General features: G+C 39.8%; 1 protein-coding gene, 1 long non-coding RNA gene and 1 pseudogene across 8 annotated transcripts in view; 2 read left to right on the forward strand and 1 right to left on the reverse strand.

The window, feature by feature from the left end:
- Positions 1-24825, reverse strand: part of NPSR1-AS1 (NPSR1 antisense RNA 1) — a 487820-nt gene that overhangs the window by 353003 nt on the left and 109992 nt on the right. The window contains exons 4-5 of one of the 3 annotated variants that reach the window (NR_015356.2): positions 23770-23881; positions 19348-20294 (exon numbers count right to left, since the gene is read on the reverse strand). The exons of the other annotated variants lie outside the window; for them this stretch is intronic. This is a non-coding gene — a long non-coding RNA (NPSR1 antisense RNA 1). Of the gene's footprint in view, positions 1-19347; positions 20295-23769; positions 23882-24825 lie in introns of those variants that run through there. 3 annotated transcript variants of the gene reach the window in all.
- The window catches only part of NPSR1 (neuropeptide S receptor 1), a 220115-nt gene that overhangs the window by 41297 nt on the left and 153993 nt on the right, over positions 1-24825 (forward strand). The gene's annotated exons all lie outside the window — the stretch shown is intronic.
- On the forward strand, positions 11589-11968 carry RPL7P31 (ribosomal protein L7 pseudogene 31; annotated as a pseudogene).

Below are 24825 nucleotides of genomic sequence, written 5' to 3' on the forward strand. Positions count from 1 at the left end.
TTTATTTCCTCGCAGTCCTGTAGGCTGAAAGTTTAACATTAGGGTGCCAGCATGGTGTGGCTCTCTTCCTGGGTTGCAGATGTCACCGTCTCACTGCATCCTCATGTGGCCTTTGTGCAATGCCTCTGCACAAAGAGAGAGAAACAGCAAGTTATGTGCCGTCTCTTCTTGTAGGCTCACTAATCCTATGGAATCAGGGCCCCACCCTTGTTAACCTTAATTATTTCCACAGAGGTCATATGTTCAAATACAGTCACATTGGGAGTTAGAGATTCAACATATAAATTTTAGGGGAATACAAACCTTCAGTCTGTAACAGGGAACAGAGGTGCTAGAAGAAATGTAGTAGTAGCAAAAGGTGGGGTGGGGAGATAATAGGAGCTTCATATGTCTTGCTAAGAAGTTCAGGCTTTGCTTTTAGCACAGCCCCTCTTCTGCTAGCTTTGTTCAGGCCACCATCACCTTTGATGCAGATTACTACAAAAGCCACCCAAGGTGTATGAAATGAGAAAACACATACTTAAATTAACCCATGGCCAGGTTTTGCTGGTAACTTGGGAACACAGTAAGGGAAGGAAAATAACTTTGTTGTGGAGAGGGCAAACCAAGGAAGGTCAGAAAGACATAGAGACAGTGGAAGCTCAAGGAACCGGAGGTTGTCCCAAAGTCATAAGGCGGATGTAACGAGAGCACCAGAACAACAGAGCTGGAAGGAAGGAAGGAAGGAAGGATATGTTTAGAAAGCAAGATGTTCCCAGATGAATACTGCAGAGGTAGTATAACTCAGTGCAACGATTGTACTGGGTAGGCAAGGTAGGGTGGCAGGGAAAGTCACTAGCAAACATGGCCACAATAATGGAAACTAAACTTTGTGTTTACCATGCACCAGGCTCTGTGCTACATGCTTTCTGTAGATCATCTCATTTAATCCTCACACAGGGATTTAAGCCTGAAGTTTTTTTCAGAGAAGACATACAAATCCCAAGTAAGAGCATGAAAAGATGTTCATTAGCATTAGTCATTAGAGGAAATGCAAATCCAAAGATCAGGGAGATACGACTTCACACCTTCAAGAATGGCTATTCCCCTATAAAATAATATACTAAATCACTCTTTGAAACATAACATTTTCCACAAACTCACCTCTTTGAATTCACATTTTGCTTTGCCAGTGTTTTATGTTATTCAGACATGAGTTTGAATCTCAGCATTTCTACTTCTGAGCCCTATGACCTATGAAAAGTGACAATTTCTCTGAATATCAATTTCCCAATCCAAAAAATGGGAATACCTCTTGGAGTTGTGGTGAGGATTAAATAAGATAATGAATATAAAGTGCCTAGTATAGTAAGAGGCATATTATTGTTCAATAAATGCTAGCTGTGAATGCTACTGCTATAGTTATTTCATTCACTGTAGAAATGATTAATTTAAACTCCTTCAAGTAACTTACTAAAGAGTGAAAGTTCTCCAAAAGGCTTGAATTTCACTGCAAACCTCTTTCCTTGTTTTGCTCTTTTATTCAGGACAATACACTTTGCTCAGGTGTGTCTTTGACTCTCAAGCATTGCTTTAAAGAATGACCAGACTTTGTCATATACCATTCTTAAAGGAGTTCAGGACATGCCACCCCAAAATATGCTGCTTTCATATATTGATTATTTTGAGCTGATAGCACTTCAACAGCAAATGCAAGAGAGACTTTTTCGGAACTCAGCTGCCTAAAAACAGATCCTCCAAAAGAAATTCAATTGCCATATATCCTCTCCCTGGGAGTTTTATTAATCAGCAAAGATACACTTTTATCACAAAACAGGAAACTGGAAGTCAACACCACCTACAGAAAAACTTTTTCATAAACTGTTATATCTCCCATTGATTCTTCTAAAAACCCATTCATCTTTCCCCAGAATCATTTACTCCACCCTAAGTGACTTACATCACCCCTCCCCATCCCCTGTTAACACAGTATGTAAGCTCTCAAATCTCTTTTAGGAGTATTCATTATTTTCCTGTGGCACCCCATGAACATAATATTAAAATGAATATGCCTTCTCTCTTATTAATCTGCCTGTTGTCAGTTTATTTCATAGACACAGCTATCGAACCTAGGAGAGTACAGGGAAATTCTTTCCTCCCCTATATGCTTAAATCATAAGATTCAACTGACATCAGCAATGAAACAAACATTCAGAAAACTAAATTCAGAGACATTATATCTGGCTTTTCTGAGGGAGAATAATAAGAACTAATAGGCATTGTCAGGTAAGGCAATACAGATGTTTTTAATTAAATGATGTTTTTTCACCATGACCCACATCTTGAAAACACCTTCCTAATTAAAGACCAGTAGTCTTGAGTGATTCTTTGAAGAACATTTTTACTTCCATTTGGTCTTTTCTTTATTGAGTTGATGAATCTGCTGGAATTAGATTCAGCGCACATAACATAAAATCCAAATAATGCTGGCTTAAGTTCATAAGGATTTATTTTTATCTTATGTAAAGAAGTCCGGACGTAGGTAATCCAGGGCTCGTGCTGCATTTTCTTACCATTGGGAACCCAGGCTCCTCTGTATTTCTACTGTATTAAAGGACTGTCACCCTCAAGTTCAGCTCATGGTACAGATGGCGGTTGGTTCAAGATGACTGCTAGAACATCTGTCATCATGCCCAAATTCTAGCCAGCAGGAAGGAAGAAGGGAGGAAGGACAGAGGGGCTCATATCAGCTCTTTGTCCTCCTCTTAATTGGCATTGCCAGAATTCCCACCCATTAGTTTTTCCTTGCATCTCAATGGTAACGTCTAAGTGAAAAAAAGCCTGGGAAATATTTTCATTTATTATTATTTTTTTAACCCAGGCCCATTGGCCAGAATAAAACCAGCTTCCTTTTCCTAAGGAAGAAGGAGAAATAGAATTAAGGAACAGTCTCTGGCATAGCTTGTTCTCCATACTTTTACTTCCATCCAGAACTGAGAAGTTTAGACAACAAATCTCTTTTTGTCCACCCATTGCCTGCTTTGAGAATGCTTCTTCCAGAGTGCTACGCTCTCTTCTAATGACTTATTATCTTGGCAGACTGCACTTTTCACACCCTCCATAGGCTGCAGTGATCCATTGGATGATTGTCCCATTATGTAGATAAGTTCCTATTGCTGGCTGTTTATGCTTTTCTCCCATTTTTAGGCTATTAGCAATCCTGCAATAAACATTCTCATAATTAAATTTGTATGAGAATTCTGTATTATTTATTTAGAAAAAGTTTATAGAAGTGGACTTACTGCATCAAAGAAAGGCACTTTTGTGGCTTTTGAATTGGCTAATGTCTTTTTTGGTTACCCAAGTTAAAAGATGATGGAAAATGTCGGGGGACAAATGCTCTAGAACCCGCTAGCATAGACCTACACTAAGTCTTATTCAAAAAGGTCCCTGTAAACAAAACCCTAGTTGACTTGCAGTAGCTACAGAATCATAACTGGTTTTTTGAGAGCAGAGATTCTCTCCGTTCCTCCCTTAGTGATACTTAGCCAGCTACTGGTAATTTGCTTATTATCAAAAGGAGCGGCCAGGCGCGGTGGCTCATGCCTGTAATCCCACCACTTTGGGAGGCCAAGGCGGGCGGATCACGAGGTCAGGAGATCGAGACCATCCTGGCTAACACGGTGAAACCCCGTCTCTACTAAAAATACAAAAAATCAGCCAGGCGTGGTGGCGGGCGCGATGGCAGGCGCCTGTAGTCCCAGCTACTCCAGAGGCTGAGGCGGGAGAATGGCGTGAACCCGGGAAGCGGAGCTCGCAGTGAGCCGAGATCGCGCCACTGCCCTCCAGCCTGGGTGACAGAGCAAGACTCCGTCTCAAAATAAATAAATAAATAAATAAATAAATAAATAAAGCATTTTTTTTTTCACTTTAGCCAGCGCATCAGAGAAGAACCCACACTTGATTGTCTTATTTTTCCCCCTACAATGCCCAGAGCAGTATTCACACATTCATGAAAAGAAAACACATCACTTAGAACATTCGAATAGAGCACGTGTTTTTATTTTGCTCTTCTATGTTTTACCTCCACTTCTCCACAATTTTGATCCCTTCAAAAAAAAATCTTAACTAATTATTCTCTATATATTCTATTAGGAATCTTGGCTGTAGACTTAATCTTGAGGTTAGAAAGAAAATAGATCTTGAAGCCACTATTTTGGCACATTCTGTAATTCTTAGAATTTCCATTCTAACAATTTTCTGGATGAATTTAATAACCGTTTATATTTTATGAGCTAAAGTGCCAATTAAAATTATTCATTTACCATCTTTAAGACTTACTTGTCTGTTTTATTCAAATGCAATAAAAATGCGGAACTAATAAGAGTAACTCCCGATGAGTGTTCAACAAAGAAAAGAAAGAAAACATATTTTTTGGCGCACATTCAAATCATTTCCTTTTTCTGGTAGGGCCAAATCTTCTCATATTGGGAAAGGAAATTAGCTTTGCTTCAAAGCACTTTCTGAAGAGCAATTTACTAATGAGCTTAGGAATTCTCTGCCCTCATAACCCTCCTATACATTACCTGAACGCAGAGAAACTTGAGACGTTCAGCAAGGGAGGTAAGGCCAGGAGTGTTGAGGCGTCCAGGTCCGTCTGTGGAGTTCACTGCCACCTTCCTGTGTGGATTTCAGTCCTTGTTTTCCTGGATTTTGAGTTGCATTCTCAATACATTATTTTTATTTTTATTCATAGTGAAAATATTGAAGACTGAATTTTTTCTGAATTCATACAATTTATATGACATGTTATTTTTTATTTTCTAAATATTTTACTGTTGAAGTAGTTCCTCTTTCACCCAAAAAAACTAATAGTTTTTGCTGTCTTTTTTTAATTTCTACGTGACCATTTCTTTAATATTTTGTAATTCACATTTAATTTTATTGCCTTGTAGTCAAGGAATATTTCTGAAAGGACTTCTGCTCTTTGGAACTTATTAAGAGTGTCTTTGAGGTTTAATATGTAATTATTATCTTAAAAATATTTAATGTATACTAAAATGTAAGACACAATTTATTGCTGTGGAATTAAACAAAGACCATCCAAATGAGAACAAGCAATGGCTATTTACTCAGAGTTTGGGAGTCAGCCCACAGTTTCTTGTGTTGACAGAGACTCAAAAGGCTGAGTGGAAAAGCTTTGCAAGGGGGAAAAAAAGGCAGGGTCTCAGCTATGCCCTGATTGGAGGCTGCTGGCCTAGGGAAGTTGACCTGAAGCACAGCATCTTATCGGATTGCTTAAGGGTGCATATTTACCTTTCTCCTATTGGTCCTAAGTTAGAAGCAAGGGAAACAATTAAAGGAGCTATCAGTTATGAACCAAGTTCTGGGTTTGTTGGGCTAATTGCTATGGTGGTATTGTTTGGCTTCCTGAGCTGGTTGCTGCAGGTTGTGGATAAGAGTTCTATTTTATGTATATGGTCTGGCCATTGTCTATATGTTCAGTCTCTCAATGCATTATTTGTACTTATTCTTTTGAATTTGCCTTTACTAATTATGGTCTCTATATTGTCTCTTTTTATATACATATTTTTTGCCTGTTTAACGTATGATAGATGACTAAAAGTGCTATTAAAAACTTTCACACTTTTGGTTGGACGTGGTGGCTCATGCTTGTAATCCCAGCACTTTGGGAGGCTGAGGCGGGCAGATCACTGGAGGTCAGGAGTTCAAGATCAGCCTGGTCAATATGGTGAAACCCCGTCTCTATTAAAAATATAAAAATCAGTTGGGCATGATGGTGCACGCCCGTAATACCAGCTACTCAGGAGGCTGAGGTGGGAGGATCGCTTGAATCCAGGAGGTGGAGGTTGCAGTGAGCAGGGATCACGCCACTGCACTCCTGCACTCCAGCCTGGGCAGCAGAATGAGACTCCATATCAAAAAAAAAAAAAAAAAAGAGAGAAAAGAAAAGCCTTTCACACTTTCTCTCATCTTTTAGTATTTTTGATCAATGTTTGTTTTATACATTTCAATGGTTTATTATTTGGTTCCTAAAGGCTCCTGATTAGCATATCTTTAATGTATGTTTGTGTATGTATGTTGATCTCTCTCTCTCTCTCTCTCTCTCTCATACACACACATAAGTCTTTTCATTTATTAGCTTTGCTTTAAACTTTGCTAATGTGATATTAATATTATGTTTATCTATCTTCTTTTTATTGCACTTGTTTGCCAAGCACCGAACTAAGCATTTTAAATAATATCACATTTTTGTAACTGTTTTGGCATTTATCTTCTTCATTGTGACTTTACTTGAAATAATTATCAATGTGTATTTCTATATTTGAGTGTTTCAATACTTATCAAGAGTTTTCTTCCCCATTCTTGGTTCCTGTGTTTCGACACAGCTCTCAACTTTCTGTAGTACTTTGGGTAGTATTTTTTTTTTCAAGAAGTCATTGGATAAGATTATAAACACCTGGCATTTCTTTATGAGCCTTTTTCTTCACTCCACAACAATAATGATTTAGATGGGTATAGAAATCTTGAATTCATAACTCAAATCTCCATAGATGTTGCTCCATTTAATTCTGGTATTTTGTGTTACCAAAAAAAAATCTAAAGTCAGTCCAAGATTTCTTTCTTGATAGGTTATCCAATTTTGTCTTTTGTTTCTGATTTTTTTTTTTTTAGATTTCATGCTTTCACCAGGTTATGTCTATTTTTTGGTCGTCTGTTATGTGAGTTCTCTGAGCTGCCATATGCTCTTTTGATCTGCTGATTAATGTGAATTCGTAGGTTATTTTCTTTATGTCTTTGAATACAGATTACTTACCATTTATTTTAATCTTATCTTCAGGAACTCTAACTGTCTGTCTATATGTTAGTAATTTTGGCCTTTCTGTCATCATTTAAATATCTTGGTCCTATTCTTCTACGTGGGAAGAATAATTTATACTTTATTAATCAATAATTTGATTTTGATTCAATGATTAGCAGTGCTAATTCTACTTTTTATTGTTTCTGAAGTATCTTAAAGGTTGCTTTGTCTATGAAAAGTTTTAAAACATTCTTCCTTTGTATTATCTGGTGCCTTTTTATTTCTGTCAGCTTCTTGGTGTTTCCCTTCTCACAACCTATCTAATGTCTTATTATCTCGTCTTTCACCTTTAATTCCATACTGTCAAAGTGTCCCCAAAATGTAAAAAGAATGCAAAATATGCGCTAAAATTTCAGGGTTTCTTGAGCTAAAGTTTTTTTGAATATATATTCTTTTTCTGATATTTTTGTGCTCTTTTTAACTCAATGCTAGGAAATCTCTCTCTGTCTCATATGTTTCACCCATCTACTGAAAGTTTTTTAATTGGCTAACATCTGAATAAATGCACATATCTTTTATTTGGATTATTCCTACACTAGCTGCACAATGCCATCATTGTTTCCTCCACCAAGAAGAGCTGGGTGGGCCATGTTCATTGAGAAAATCAGTTTCTCTCAAACAGGAGAAAAAATGGCATTGTCCTATCGCTATGTGAATAATTCAACTAAAAAGAATAACTGTTCTCCCAGTAAAGCTTTTTCTTTCTTAGAAAAATTGGGTTTCTTTATATTCCATGCCTTTGCTTCAGAGCACAATATGTGACCTGGGAAAGGCATTTACCCTTGTTAAACCTTCATTTTCTCATTTCTAAAATTACAAGGGTTATCTCCATGATCTTTAGGAAGCCAGAACTGATCTGGTTCTAATGGTCCTTTGATTCTAATTAGAAATTTCCAACTGCAAAAGTTGAGGGGGATTCTTACATCTTCAGAAGCCAACTAATTAAACAACTTTTGCTGTAATGAGTGTCAGTCACCTTTATGAATCAGCTTGTCACTTAATAATAGAAATAGCTGGCTTCTGGCCCATGCAGAAGGAATGTAGAAAATAGACTATAGTAACAAGCTGACTCCCATTCTCCTGTTGTTCCCTGCCTCACTCAGTTTCCACAGTCAACTTAGGACAATTCCATACTGTGATTATTTACTCCTGCTTTGCTTTCGTAATTCAACAAACAGTATTAACCACTTACTATGGCGAGGCATGGTTCCAGGTGCTAAGGACCCACAGTGGATTTGATTACAAATTACAGGTAAAATAATAAAGCAATAAAAAGGATAATTTTGCTTTCATCATCGAAAGCTCAGTGATAGAGTAAGCTTTAGACTTTATTTGCCTCAGCAATGCAGCAGTGGTAGAGGGCAGAGGAGAAGTCTCATCCTAAGCCTTGCTCCCAAGGCTGGTTATAGGATGCTGTATTAGTTTGCTGGGACTGCCGTAACAAATACCAAAGATTGGGCAGCTTAAACAACAGAAATTTACTTTCTCACAGTTCTAGAAGCTAGAAGTCCTCTATCAAAGTGTTGGCTAATTTTATTTTGAGGCCTTTCTCATTGGATTGTAGATGGCTGTCTTCTCCGTTTTTTTCACATGGCTTTTTTTCTGTCCATGTCTGTATCCTAATCTTCTCTTCTTATGAGGACACCACCAGTTATACTGGATTAGGGCCCACCCAGAATTACCTCATCTTTTTTTCTTCATTATCTCTTTAAAGTCCCTATCTCTAAGCATGTCACATTGTGAAGGACTGGAGGTTAGGACTTTAACATATGAATTTAGGGGAGATGCAATTCAGCCCATAACAAATGCCTGCTAGTAACTCATGGGAACTCTCTTCCACATGCAAAGAGATAAAATGTGATTTCTGCAAGTTTTATTAGAAATATAGGAAGGAACCCTTCCCAGCAGGGCTTGACAAGCCTGTGCATGTGCCTCACTGACATAACTAAGTTATAGGGTCATATTTGAACTAATCCATGGAACAAGACATGCAATTACACTGATGAGCTTAGGCTGAAGTCAAATGTCTCACTCCTGAAAATTCAGACTTCCCCAAAACACATGGGCTGAACAGGTAAGATGGATACTTCAACTGAAAGCCAGGGTACTTAACAAAAGCAGGAGAAATAGATGCTGGGGAGGTAATCCCAACGTCCAGTGCAAATGCTATGAGGGAAAACGACAGAGTCCCAAACATGCTGGAGCTTATAGTTAGAGGAAGGAAAAATTAGATTTTTCTCAGGGCTTTGGGATTGGGGCACCTGGCAGTCAGCGCCTAGATTCCAAAGCAGGTCAGAAGATGCCTCTGCCCAAGTATTGGAAACCTTTTGAATATCTTTGAGTATTAAAAACATTTTAACACTGCCTGAGAAAAGTAGTAGTTATGAAGTTATACATTTAGCCTATCCCATTCAACTCAGGGGATTGTACACAGATCAAATAAATTGCAATTGTGTTTCCCTCCCTGATATTCACATAGGAAGGTGAGTGGTGAGCAGTAAACTTCAGGACCTTTAAAGTTATCATTGCTTTCACCCTTGCACCAGCTTTTTGAGGTAAATATTCCCATTTTCTAGGAGAGGATAATGAGGCTCAGAGAGGGTAAGTGGCCTCCCCAGGGTCTTCTAGCTGAATTGTAACCAGCTTGATCTTCCTTTTGAATTCCACCATCTTGCCTGTGAGGGAAAAAGGAATAAGGAGCCAGGAGTTGCAGGGTCATTCTTCTCCTCAAGAGGCTTGAGAGTAACTAAGTATCTGTTCAAAACACTTTTGAGAATTTGGCGGCCTCATTACGTTTCTCAGGAGTCCCTGGGGGAGGTTACACTTTTAGGATCCCCAGGAATAGAGTGACAAAATACAGCTACCACAACTTGGTCCTGTGCAACTGTGCCCTTGCTCAGCAATTACTGACTCCATTCTGACTGAACTCTGCCAAAAACTCTTAACATTAATAATTATTACCTGTTCTCAATTTTAATAATTAAGAGTTTTACAACTTCCAGTGACTCTTAATTCAGGTTTCTTTGGCTTACTGTTCTTGGACAATAACAGTATGGTCACTGTTGCACAGACAGAAGCTAGACATAGTCTGTATAGCTAACTCCCTCATGTCCTTCAAATCTTTCTTCAAATGTCAGTTTCTTTTGGGGCCTTCTGTGACCAACCTGATGAATAGAGCCCACCAGCCCCAGACCACAGCGTTCCTGACTTCCTTTACTCTGCTTCACTTTTCCCTTTTTCACAGCAATTGTCACATTCTATTCTACTATAACTTACTTATTTATTGAATTTACCACTGATTGTTTGCCTAACCTCACTATAAGACAGGGATCTTTGTTTTATTCTCCAAGAACTTAGAACAGTAGTTATTCAATTAATATTTGTTGAAGCAATGAATGAACCAAATGAATGAATGAAAGATGAATATAAAAATATTTATATGTCCTAACACTCTACTAAGCATTATGACAGAATATCCACCAAAAAAAAAAGATGAGAAGGAGAAACCATTATTCTTCTGTAGCAGGGCTAACAGAACATGAGCAGATGGCAAACGTGAGATTATCAGCACCTTCTGGGCTAGTTCCTGGAAATCAGCTGATTTCCTGCTGCTTCCAAAAATTCTTAAAGCTTTCAGACTCCTGAGCAAGCTCCTGCAAAACACCTATTTTGGTGCTGCAAGCACCTGCAGTAGCTCTCTAGTCATTCAGGTACTTGTTGACCTTAGGAACTCAAGCCATAGCTTCCACGATTTTCAATCCCTGATCCCTCTTCAGTCTCAAATTGCTGTATCCAAAACCCTTCCTACTTGCAATATATTAGAAAGGCCACCTTCTGACCAAATCTGAAAAGTTGGGTAGGTTTGTAGAGGATGAGTTTTTGGATTATTCCCAATTCTTTTGATCCTCACCCCAACCTCCTAAGACTAAAGCTACAGTGGCCTCCCTTTAGGGAAGAAAGCAGAGGAAAGGAGCAGAGGAATTATTTTCTGTGAATTAACTGTTTCTAGATTCTAATATTAGTGACTAAACTGCCATTTGTACTTCCTATATTCCTGTTTTAGCAAGAGCTAAAAGAGTTTCAAAGAAGGTAAATTGTATTCTAAGAAGAGAATTCAGAAAGTCCTTTCCAGAATAGATGAATCTTAAATGATGGGCAGGTTTCCCACAGAGATAGGTGGGGAAGCCATTCTAACCTAGAAAACAGGATGCCTAGAAGTATGCAGTGTTTTCAGAAAATGGCAGACACAGGCTTCCTTGGCTAGAGAACAAAGACTTCATACAGGAGTAGGTTCATAAATACAAGCACAAGAGACCTTTATAGCATTGGGGTCTAGTGATTCTCAATTATTCTGCCTATAAGCATCAACTGCAAGAATAGTTAAAATTCTATTGAAGAGAAGAAATGTTTCCTGCTGTGCCAGAAACCCTTAAGAAAAAGCAAAGGAATTTCACAGAGCTGAAGATCAAGCACCTGAGAAACAAGTTTGCCTCAAGAGATGCTTCCAAAGGCAAGTTGGAAGCTTATTGATGAAAAAGTGAAACACTATCACAAGGAGTACAGGCAGATGGGACAGAACTGAAATTCAAATGGCTAGGATGGCAAGAAAAGCTGACCACTTCTATGTACCTGCAGAACGCAAATTGGCATTTGTCATCAGGATCAGAGATATCAATGATGTGAGCCCAAAGGTCCAAAAGGTGTTGTAGCTTCTTCGCCTTTGTCAGATCTTCAATGGAAGCTTTGTTAAGCTCAACAAGCTTAGCATGCTGAGGATTGTAGAACCATATATTGCACGAGGGTACCCAAACCTGAAGTCATTAAATGAACTAATCTACAAGCATTGTTATGGCAAGATCAATAAGAAGAGAACTGCCATGATAGATACCAATTTGATTGCTTGATCTGGCTTCATCTGCGTGGAGGATCTGATTCATGAAATTTGTACTGCTGGAAACACTTCAAAGAAGCAAATAACTTCCTGTACCCCTTCAAATTATCCTCTCTATGAGATGGAATGAAGAGAAAAACCACTCATTTTATAGAGGTGGAGATGTTGGCAACAGGGAAGACCAGATTAATGGGCTCATTAGAAGGATAAAATAAGGTGTCTGCCATGATTATTTTTGTAATCTTGTCAGTTAATAAACAGTGACTGCTTTCGATTTGAAAAAAAAATACATAGTTAAAATACACCTACACATTCACACCAAAGATTCTGATTTAATTGGTATGAAGCCAAACCAAGACATTAGTACTTTTCCAGAGCTTCCCAGGTGATTTTAATTTGCAGCCAGTGCTGAGAAACACTGAGACGATGCACATAAAATGCCTAGCCCAGAGCCTGCTCAAGAAATGTTAGCTGTTGCTCTCTACTGTCACTGTTTGGGTGGTTGAGACTTGTGCCCAGGCTTCCTAGGGGAGTGTTCCTCCCATTGCCCCACAGTTCCCTGTAAGTGGTGGAAAAGGAGACCCTATAGCAGCACTTCTCAACACCGGCTACACATTTGAATCAATAGAGGAGCCTTGCCAAGGTTTGCAAAAGATGGCTGGGTCTGTCTCTAACCAATTAGAATCTCTGAAGGTGGGACCCAGGTATCCCCATTATTTACTTTCCCCATTAACTATTCCACAAATATCCTCATATGATCTGATCTCTATTTCCCCATAATGATTGACTGGTATTTCTCTTTGCCATTTCAGTATTCACAATCTGCTTTGTATTAAAGCTGCTTATTTACGTTATCTCTCCCACTGTGAACCACTGCAGATCAGGGACTGGATTTGTTTTGTTTTGTTTTAGTTTTTATACAATTGCTTTCCCCTTGCACTCAGCATACAGCAAAGCTCTAACACATGATATATACTTACATAATATTAATTTAATTAATTGTCAGAAACCATAGATACTCAACTATAAGACTTTCCTGCCTTCTCCACTCTACTTTTCCATTTTTCATGTTTTCTTTGTTGTTGTGCTTTTCTATGCCTTCTTCACACTGTAGCCAAAGTTATTTTATTCAAAATTCAAATTAATTTAATTATGGAAGCTGGGTAATGAGCCTAATAATATAAACACAGTGGTGCAGTGAGCATGCAGTTAGTTACAATGTTCCATCTATTTTTCTGTTGTGTGAAGGCATCCACAATTTATAAAGTACCTGGTGATTCAAAAATTAAGAACCACTATTCTAAGAGTAGGTGGAGGCCAGACTATGGAATCTTCCAACAACCAGGAGCAGGAGTTGGAATGGAATAAATTAGAGCACTGGATCATCCCTGAAATCCCTGAGCAGAGGAACAACCGAAACAGAGATGTATTTAAGCTTATAAGTCTAAATAAAAGTTGGGGGTTTAAAAAGGCTACTTAATTACTTCTGAGAAAAAATATTTTATTCATTTCTCACTGGGCTTCTATAATCACCTCAGCTCTGTCTGCAGTTTCCTTTCTTCTGTAATTATTTTTCTCTCCATTTTCTTGCCCTGATAGCCACGTGCTCATTTGGGTATCCATCAAAAGACTACATTTCAGTATATTAATTCTCTCACTGGATGGTACAGCTTGAATTTCCTTCTGCTAGTTTCATTAAAATCTAAATGGGGGGAAAAGTCCTCTACATTATCTAGGAGATCCATGTGAGCTGCCCAGCTCCATTAGCTGTTGTCTGTTAGAGGTGGATTACAAGCAGGTGTAATCTTAAGGACACCGCCCTTCTGTGATTGTTAAGAAGGAACACAGACTGAGCAGAGCGGCTACTGTTCTGATCAGGAGCCACCACCACTGGTTCCTACAGTATACAGAATTTCAATTGTCAGATCTGTCCTGGAGGAACAATAGAATACAACTGTGAATTAAATAATTTAGAAACCAAGGACATAATCTCACTTTTCTAAATGAGTTTGCCTCTTTTAGGAGTCAGTATATTCGTAGTTTTGCTAGCACAGTCCTGTGATGTAGGAGGAAAATGCCCAAAAATATTCTAGAAAAAACATTGAGAATTCAAGTTAAAATGTCAGATGGAGCAGCCTCTAGAATTCCTCCTTTGTAGGCCATCAGTAATCTCACTGAAAATTAGACATGTATTATTTATAAATAATAATATAATATTATGCATATTTTAAATATTAATGATTTAGGTCAAACGCAGAAGGTGAAATTTGTAGGTGTCAGAAATGAAGGCCAAATCTTTAGTGGGAAGGCTGTGGGAGCTGAAGCTCTGCAGAGCACAGTGGGGATCCAGATGCAATATTTAGAGGCTGGTGTTTTCACTCTCCTGTGCAGAAGTCAATGCTCCAACTCTAGAGCATGGAACTAGGCTTCCCAAATAAGCCTATTGCTGGCAAAGCTCTGCATAGTCCGTGACTGGGAGATGGGAAATCTGGAAAACTAACCATCTGACCTAGGCCCATCCCAGGCCTGTCCCGGATCCCTCCAGAAATCTCAAGAAACAGGATCTCAAAGCCACAGGGCACTATGTGCGAGGCGCCACGTCCACTGGACACATTCAGGGAACATCATTCACATGAACATGTGTCCTTGTTCTGGTTATTGATTGCTGTGTAACAAACCATCCCAAATATTAGTGGCTTAAAACATCAGTTTATTGCCTTTCATATTTCTGAGGGTCAAGAATTTAAGTGGAATACAGTGAGGTGGCTCATCTTTTCTCCATGCTGTCTGAGACTCAGCCAGAAATGGCTTGACTGGCACTGTTGGCACTGGTGCCAGCTGTCCGCTGGAAGTCTGGCAAAGATCGCCAGGAAAGTTCCTCAGTTCCTCCTCACTTGGGCCTCTCCAGAACTCCCTTTCTGGTGCTACCTGGGTTCCAAGAGGACCAGGCGAAAGCTGCAAGGACTCCTATGACCCAGGTTCTGAAATTATGAAATGTCCATTCTGCCGCATTCCATTGGTTGAGGATGAGTCCCAGCTCCAGCCAGGGTTCAGGGAGACGGGACCACACAAGGGTGCGAATAATATGAAACTTGGCTCATTGGGGGCCATCTTTGGAGACTAGTGACCACACGTCTGGAATTGTGCAATGGGCCAGTACTTGGTTGTGGTTATAGAAATCCCAGTGTAAAGCCTAAATAGAAACATGAGTTAAGAATAAGTCAATCCAATGGTGCACTTCAGAAGTGACCGTAAAACTCTCCTGTAGAAGGACTTTCACATATTAGAGCATCTACAAAGCTCCCTCAGTTTCCAAAGATGATAGATCTCCTGGAAGATAAACTTGAGGAGAAGGTAGGTGCCCACTATCAGAGCTGGACTGTGAGCTCCAAGCTGGGCTCATTTACCTAGTGGGGGTCTACAGGTTACTCATCCTAGACCCAGTCAATTGCCCCTGACCTGCCTCAGGAGTGAAGCAGAGCCAGGGTCAGGGCTAGGTGGGTAGGTGGGCTGCCCCAGACTTAAGCTGTGCATTGAGAAGTGCCATAGATACCAGGAATCAAATGAATGGAGATTTGCTATTATTTGGAAGGATGTAAGACCACAAGCATATCTATAAGAAATTGTACCAGGATCACAAATCTCCCATCTCAGCCCAGCAGCAGTGATCTCTGGAAAGAAACACCACCCCACATCCCAGGCTGGTATACTTCACAGTAATGATGTGTGCCCAGATTAACACAAATGACAAATTCCATCATACTCCCTCTATCTGAAGGAGCACACCTGATGTGAGAAAGAGCATGAGAGGAGCCTGGCTGTCAGAGCAGGAATTCTGCACTGTGGCAGGTTCTGCTCTGTCTGGCTGATGCTTCTGAATACAGCAGAGATATGACGGCCTCATAATTTAGGTTGCTTGAAAGGCGGAGCAAGAAAAGTTACCTAGTTTAGAAAAATCAGGAAACTCATATATGGAAAGGCTATGCTATCCCAAGCCAGCATTGCTCTGGAACTAAGCAGATGAGAATGTGAGCCCAGAAAGTTTTTCTCCCAAAGAAATGCTCTTTTTGACAGCCAATCAGGCCCAAGTGGTTTATAAGGTAGCCCAAGCGGCAAAACATTTGAGTCAGAAAACCCTCACCTTGGCACCTCTACCAAGGAATTGTCAGTCAGCCCTACAGAACCTTCTGTCTGGCCTTATCTTAAACTTGTGGCAGAAGTAATGCCACATGTTCACAATATCCCATGGATGGGGTCATGTGATGTGTTCAGGCCAATGAAATGTGAGTTGAAGGGACTATGTCACTCCCAGACTGAGACTGTGAAAAGCCCCTATTAGATGGTTGTCCCTCTGCTTTGAGCTGTGAGTTTGGAGGCCACGTGTTGAGATGGTAGAGTCCTCAGATCAAAGCAGCCCTGAATACAAAATAGCTGTATTTGGAGCTTGTGTGCTACTGCAGATACCATAAGCCTCGCCTATTTTGTTACTCCAAAGATGTGCTGGGTTCATCTTTGTAGCTAGCCCAGGGGCACCATGATGCTCAGGCTACCATATGGGAGGGCGATCCATGAGGAGCAGCACCTGGGTGGTGAATAGCACCTGGGAAGCTGAACCTCTGTGTTCAGCTTGGAGGTAGTTAGCAGATGGAGTTCTAGGATGTACTACCATGAGAAGAAAGTCGAGGGAAGATAAAAGTCAGAATGAGGGAGATGGTATTGGTTAAATTCAAAGAAGGAAGGATAAAAACCTTGGGGAAAGAGTGGAAAGAGGGTGGCCTCCAGAGCTGAGTCCACCAGGATGTACAACAAATTATGCTTGAGATGAGCTGTCCAGGACTCAGTATGCAAATGGGTGATCTATGCCTCAGTGCCCACTTATTGGAAAACACACCTGAGATGAAAAGCATGCTCTAAACTCTGTCACTGGAGAGTCTTGCCGCTTGGACCGTGAGATGACTATAACAAAACACTGCCATTCATCTTCCAAAAGAGGAAATGGACAGACATATAATTACTAGCCCATAAAATGATGGCAAATAACACAGCCCTCCAGACACTATACTTGGTGCCATGGAAAAATTTGAACATTATTGGGCAATCACTGCCTTCTGACTTCAACTTTGACTTAAGAAGAGCAGAAGAGTGTACATATTGGGAGCAGGATGAAGACACAGAGTTTCTGGTTCAAATCCTCGTTCTCCTGCTTTCTATTGGGAGATCTTGCAAGTTAATTGCTTGACTTCTTTCTGCTTCAATTATTTCATCTGTCAAATAGAGATAAAAGCAATTCCTTTTTCATGAGGTTAGTATGAAAATTACAGTGGATCATGAAGAAAAGTTCTTAGGACCATGTCTGATATGTGAGTCCTCAATGAATGATGAATTCATTGAATATTATGATATCACCAGGTTTTTTTAAACCGCTGGCCAGGTATCCCCTCACAATCCTTTATCTCTCCTCCTCTGTAAATGTCCAACACAGGCCACTTCTCCCCTTTGTACACCTGCTGTGCAATTCCTGCCACTTTGGAATGGGAGCATCACAGCTTAAGGGTCCTAATTCCTTTCTCAGCCTCTGGGTATCCCAAGTCTCTAACTTGCCATTGCCTGCTTTGCACCAAGACCAGAGTGTCAGGGGCAGATTACAGGAGTCCTACAGTCACTGCTCTGCTAATGAGTGCTTCCCTTAGAGGTGAAGAAGCGAGGCAGTGCCTGCTTTGGAATGCTTTAATAAACACCAGAAAGTCCTCACTGCCAGGGATATTTTACTCATTTACTTTCTAAAGCCTAAAATTCTAGAAGATAGGACACATTCATTTGCTAAAATACAAAATTTCCAGGGAGAGGATGTATAATGAGTCTTTTTTGTTTGATTGTTTTTTGAGACAGAGTTTCGCTCTTGTTGCCCAGGCTGCAGTGCAATAGCGCGAACTCAGCTCACCGCAACCTCCACTTCCCGGGTTCAAGCGATTCTCCTGCCTCAGCCTCCCGAGTAGCTTCGATTACAGGCATGTGCCACCACCCCCAAGTAGTTTTGTATTTTTAATAGAGACAGGGTTTCTCCATGTTGGTCATGCTGGTCTCAAACTCCCGATCTCAGGTGATCTGCCGCCTCAGCCTCCCAAAGTGCTGGGATTACAGGCGTGAGCCACTGCGCCCGGCCACATAACAAGTCTTATCAGTCAGTATACCTCAGTATAAATTAATTTATCAGGCTCCTTTTCTAAAGGGTTAGATGAGGGGGAAATGTAAGATGGTGGAAGACTTGGGCATTTGAGAAGCAATTGAGAGGGAAAATGATCCAAATGAGAACCCTGGGACCCCCAGAGACAGTCACTAAGGAGTTACCAGTTGGCATAGAACTTCTACTTCTGCTCCCAACTGTCCAAGCTCAAAATGAAGCCCAGTAGGGTCTTCAGGGTCTCATCTTGGAAAAGGACAGCTTCCAAGCCTAGGATTTCAGAATGTATAATGGTCATTTGAGTGCCGCTCATCAGTGAACAATAGCTAATCAGTGTGCAAATTCAGCAGGCCTGAGCTCCATCACCAAAGGCATTTTCATGAGGACACATCCTGCTTGGAGAATTTTGAGTGCCATCAGACAAGTCAAATCGCTGCCCTTCTCTTTACTCAAAGGATCTGGAATCCCCTGAACCAGGAAAAATGCCACTGTGACCCTTCTGGGTGCATAAGCACAGGAATAAACACAATAGATGGGCAAATCCAACTGTACCTTATCCTGATGACATATTTTAGGGCAGCAGTTTTTAACTTTCTAGTTTACACTCTTAAAAATAATATTGAGAACCCAAAAGAATTTTTGAGGATGCAGATTAAGTTATCTCTACAGATATTTATCATTTTAAAAGTTAAAGTGGAAAATTCTTTAAAAATATTATTTATAAATTCATTGTAAATAACAATAATAAAATGTTAACATAAATGTAATACGTTATGCTAAATAACTCATATTTTCCAAAATGACAAAAATGCAGCTTGCATTGTTCACATTTTTGCAAATCTCTTCGATGCTTGTTTCCATTCAGCTGTGATATCACTCATGATGCCACCTCTAGAAAACTCCACTCTACACACAAGAGAGAATGAGAATGAAAAAGACAAAGGACAGCTCAGGATTGCTGTAAAAATAGTTTTGACTTTGCAGATCCCCCGAAGGGGTCCCAGAGACCCACAGGAGGCCCTGACCCTACTCAAAGACCTCTTTTTTAGAGGATTGTTTTAGGTGATTGGGCTGTTCTGATATGATCCATTCCTAGGCTTCTAAACACCTCAGGCAAGTCTCCAGGGCCCAATAGGAAGGTCAATACAGCCTCTTCCTTGTTAAGGGTAGACCTACATTGAAGATCAAGGAATCTTGGTGTTTGTAGAATAATTATGGACTAGCAAAGGACAAAGCAGTTGCAGGTTTCTTTGCTGAGCCTCTGTGTTTGTGAGTCTGGAACCCAAAGGGGCAGCAGCTGAGGGGCAGGGACTGAGAAGTAGCAGGATCTGTCTCTTAATAGCTGCACCAAAAGGGAAAGTCATGACATTTTTCTGAGACTTCATTTGTAAAATGGAAATAAAGTCCAAGCACTTCATGGAGAGTACCTTATTTAATTCAAACATATAACATAGAAAGATTGGGAGATAATCATCTTTCTCTGTTTTACAGATGAGAAACCACATACTCAGCAAAGTGCCCAGTACACAGGAAGTGACAGAGTCCTAATTTGAAGCTGTGTTTGTTTGATCTTAAAGCCCAGGCTTTTCTCTGTCCTGCTGGCTTGGTGAGAAGGTGTCCAGCGTTGGCAGGCAGCTGAGAGAAGTGGGGGATGGACTTTTTTCTGGAAGTTTATCTGGAGCTAATGGCATGTGGTGACTATGCCAGGGGTGTGTGAGCACTCAATACCTAATAACTGCCTGTAGGAGGATTAATAGAATGTGGAAAAATAGAACAGCAACCTGGCCAGTTATCAAAGCAACCCAAGGGACTGCAAATACCCTCACAGTATATGCTGTGCATGCATATGTGGACCGTGCACTTCTCAACAGAGGGAAGGAAGGAGGCTTTTTCCTTTTTTCATTTAGACACAAGGATGCCTGGCATAATTTGCTGCAAAGCGTTTTTCTCTCTCAGGACTTAGGAAAATGGAGTCACAGGTTAGCAAGCTAGATTGGTCAGAGCTTTAGTGAAGGAGCAGGTGACCTAGAAAAGATCTTCCCTAGGAAAAATGCAATAACACACAGTCCCTAGAAAATGATGACATGCTGTCTCTATGCACTGCTAAGACATTTCAGAAACATTATGGGAAATAAGAAATGGATTTTTCATACAGCTGGCACCTTACTAAATAAATATGTATTTCATACCTGTTTTGTTAATGAGGATTGAAACTGTATTCCCATATTGCTGCCAGAGTATGTCCCTAAATCACAGACAGATTGTTTCCATTCTCTTATGCAAAACATCTAGATGGACTTCCAGTTCGAGACTCTGTCTGGCTAACAGCCCTCAGTGCAACCTGTCTCATTTTCTCACTTCTAGAAGATGGGAAAAATGAAAACTCATTATTATGGAAAACCACCAGTGACAGACAGTCTAATGTCAGAATCAGAGAGGAACTGACACTAATTGTAAGGCAGATGGAGCTGCATTAGGAAACACCAAGCCAAGGAGCCCTCCATGCCCATGCCACACTTAGTTTCAAAAAGAAAAAAAAAAAAGGAGCCAAGGCCAGGCATGGTGGCGCACGCCTGTAATCCCAGCACTTTGGGAGGCCGAGGCGGGTGGATCATGAGGTCAGGAGTTTGAGACCAGCCTGACCAACATGGTGAAGCCCTATCTCTACTAAAAATACAAAAATTAGCCAGGTGTAGTGGTGCACGCCTGTAGTCCCAGGTACTGAAGAGGCTGAGGGAGGAGAATCGCTTGAACCCGGGAGGTGGATGTTGCAGTGAGCCAAGATTGCACAACTACACTCCCGCCTGGGCAACAGAGCAAGATTCCGAGAAAAAAAAAAAAAGGGAGCCAGACAAAGGCAAGGCAGAAGCATGGAGCCCTGTGTGTCAGGATCTGGCCCACCAGACCAGGGGTTGCTGAGCTGTAGATGCTACTAGGCTGTGAGGCAAGCAGAATGTGGACTCTATACCAGTCTCCACTTTCTGGAAGAGAAAACAAGTCCCATGGGGAAATATGGGCAGGATGTAGGGGCAGACATAAGATATGATGCAATGTGTAGTTCCCCAAATAAAGCCCTGAATATGTGAGTTGGGAAAAGTTCTCTGAGTAACAGTACCATGTTGAGAGTTGTGTGTGATGTGTGGGGTTTGGTGTGTGTGATGGGGGATGGGGAGTGAGTGTGCATGTACTTAACTGCAGTATTTAAGAGTCCTGAAGAGTCAGGCAATTGAAGGAGAAGAAGCCTTCCATTGGCTAGAGACCCCATCAGAAACTTGGAGTTGGCCTGGAGCTTTGACCTGCCTCCAGATGCATGTCAGGAAAAAGTCTTATTTGTTCACTGTACAATGAACAGAAAGCAGGGGCAAGAGTAATTTATTCACATATCTGCTTCTAATCATCAAGTCGGAAAAGAAATCTGGATACTATTTTTGAGAAAAAAATAGAGAAACCATAAATAATTTGGAACTGTATAAGTACACTTTATACCAAGAAAAAGGAACAACATCTGGAAGGCTCAAAAGAAAAGGATATCTCTGAAAAAAAAATTATGTATATGTAAATACCTTAGTGACTAGAAAAATATATTTCAAGGAAATGTTTTACTGTCATGCAAAGTTGTAGGAAGACATAAATAGGAACAGTGGCATAAGCAAAAAGGCAGGGAGGGTAAAGGAATAGGATGGTAAGAAAGAACAAGAATGATCAAGGAGCAATGCTTGAGGCAATAATGATCAAAACAGGTGTAATTCATGTTGCATAACACCCAATCCATTCCTGGAAAGACAAATTTGAGATGCATTTCCAGAACGTCAAAGGAAAGGATAAGGAAATGAAAACAACAAAATAGGAATGGAAGATAGCAACGAGTGTTCCTGGAAGAGAAACCGGAATAAATGGAAAAGAAGCAGAATCAAACCTACAATAGAAGAAACCCTTCCTGAGCTTAATAAAAGACGGAGGAGGAGTCTTGTGTGAACAAATTCCCAGGGCTCACCATTTTCAAGCACAGTAATTAGAACGAGACCCCACCTCCCTCCCACCTTCAGCATCACATCTTGCCAAAGCATTCTTATTCATTCTCTCAACTAACACTTATTTCATTCCAACTGCATGCCAGGCCCTGCAATTAGAAAGGTTAAAGAAAAAGGCCCCAAAGTTTCAGGTAGCACAAAATTATGTATTTATAATATGCACAGTGACTTTAGATTTCTTTGTAAAAACAAATATATCAAAACATCATGGAAAAACATCTACAGTTTTAAGACAATAGTTTGTGACTCAGGAATTTCATATGCCGCCGAATTTATGTATGAAAGCAACAGTTTTTAAAAAGATGACATTAACATTAAATGCTTAAAAATAGTTAAAGGTGTTCCAGAACCAATGGAGAGTTGGAACAGAATTAAAGTCCTAAGACTAAAGAAATAATGGTATAGAAATTCTGAAATTATTAAAATATAGATAAGCATAATTGGTACAATGTAGCTATAATGAAATGATATTGCAAATATTATACCAGGAAAAGAATATATATAAATGTATAAATCCTTAACTCAACCATTCCTTTTATTTTATTTTATAGAGAAAAGGAGGGGGAAAAGGAGGGGAAGGAGAAGGAAGAGAAGGAGAAAGAAAAAGATGGAACGGTTTCATTAGTAAAAAAAAATTCCCAATGAATTATTTAAGGATGGGTATAATAGTTTCTAAATGAGGGTGTAATTTGCAATATTCATTACAAAGTGAAAAATGTTAAAGTATTTAAGAATAAAACAATGATGGAGTTGCTTATATGGACAAAACATACCTATAATGAAATACAATAGAATAATGTGGATAAAATCCATCCGTAGGGTAATAAACTGTAATATGTGGTATATGTAAAAAAACCAAGTTATAATCTAATACTTAGTACAATTCTACTTTGGAAAAATATGTCTATATGTGTATAAATAGAAAATAAGGTCTAGAAATCTCTGCAGCTAAATGTTAACAGTTGTTATATCTGGAGGAAAAGATTTTGCATGCTTATTATGTTCTGTTTTATATTGATTTGTTTGGGGCTCATCTGGACTTTTTAGTTTTTCTGGAAGTTACATGTAAAGGATTTAAACAAGGCTATGGTATATTTAGATTTGTAAGGGTAGAGACAGAATTGCAGGGGCCAGTATGAAAGAGAAGGTAATTGAAGCAAACCAAGTGAGAGGTGATGGTGGTCTAAATCCAGACAATGGCAAGAAGATGGACAAAAGTGGGCAGACTTGAGCTATTCTAAGATGAGGAACTGATGGTGTTGGAGATCCATTAGATATGGGAGTGTGGCTGCAGATAATGACAGTTCCGTATGTCAGCATCAACATGGAGGGAAGTGTCTTGAGCCACTAGAAGATCAGTCTGGGAGGAGTTGGCAAGGCCTCTTAGAAGAAATCATGCCTCCTTTGAGCTTTAAAAGATAATGAAGAGTCAGCCAGCTGGAGAGGTGAGGAAGGCCATTTTAGCCTGAAGTGAGTGTCCCATTATTTGACCTGTGTCACAGTGGCCTTTCCCAGCCAAATTGCAAACAGAGTCACCAAATTCGAATAAACATTTTTAAAGGGAGAAGAAAGCACTGCTCCCTCTGGAAACTGTGAACAAATTAAGCCAGAGCAAATCCGTCCATCCTGGCTGCAGCAATCCCAAGATAATGCTGCTCAGTTCTAGGCTGCTTGGCAGAAAGGGGTTATTCTCTGTTATGTGCCTCATTTACTCATGAATGGAGAACTTCTGGGAATCCAGGATCAGCCAGGCACAGCACAGTTACTATTTCTGGGAAGATTTCATTTGACCCCAATTACTTACAATAGCAGAGTGATGTCCCATTGTCCAATAATAATCACCATGACCTTCACTGGGTCTAGGTGTCCTTTACCCAAAGACCTGCTTCAAAATACCATCTAACAGATTGGAGCTCCTGTCAAAACAAGAAGAGTCATCACACTGACAGGATCTCCCTGAGGACACCAAGTGCCTAAGAATTTGAACAAAGCATCCTTTCTGTGCAGGAGGAAGGGGGCACAAGATTTCTAAATAGCATAAATAAATAAATAAATAAATAAATAAATAAATAAATAAAGATGAATTGTAATTATCTATGTTTAGCAGACATTTGAAGTAGAAATAGGTCACTGGGATTTCCATTTCAAATCTCTATTGAAATTCTTTACCAAAAGAATTCTTTTGCACTTGATCTATCCAGCCTTTTTTTGAGAGGGGGATCTCACTATGTTTCCAAGGCTAGACTTGAACTCCTGTGCTCAAGCAATCCCTTCATCTCAGCCTCCGGAGCAGGGCTTTGGGTGTGCACCCCCACTGCACCCCGCTCAGCACTTTTTATCAGCTATAATTTATAACAATAATAGTGATAATAATTATAATAAAATAATATGAATGTTTGTTACCATCTGTCAGGCTCTGTTATGAATATATCACTGTCTTTATAACAATCACATGAAGAAGCTAACTCAATTTCTACAGAGGTCAGAGAGAAAAATTATCCATTTGGTTGAACCGAAACCCATCTATCTTCCACACTGAGTTAGTCTTTTATTTTAAATAAATATGTTGTTATCAAGAAAGGAAATCATCCATTATACTTTCACTTTCACCTTTGCTTTCAAAATCACCCAAACCTGAATTACTAGCTCATTTCTCCAAAAGCATAATTAATATTGACTTTCTTTTTATTATCTCCTATAACTAGATATTGAAAAACACTATAGCTAGCATAAAGGAAAACTTCTGAACAGTGTAGCCATATTGCCACAGAAACAGATTCAGAAAAATAAACCTAAGAACTCTGGAGAAAGAATGCATGTTATATAAGTTTCTCCCTAGAGTTTGGCAGCCTTTGTTCAT

Source organism: Homo sapiens, chromosome 7 (genome assembly GCF_000001405.40).
Source record: "Homo sapiens chromosome 7, GRCh38.p14 Primary Assembly".
In the NCBI taxonomy this organism is placed as follows: Eukaryota; Metazoa; Chordata; class Mammalia; order Primates; family Hominidae; genus Homo; species Homo sapiens.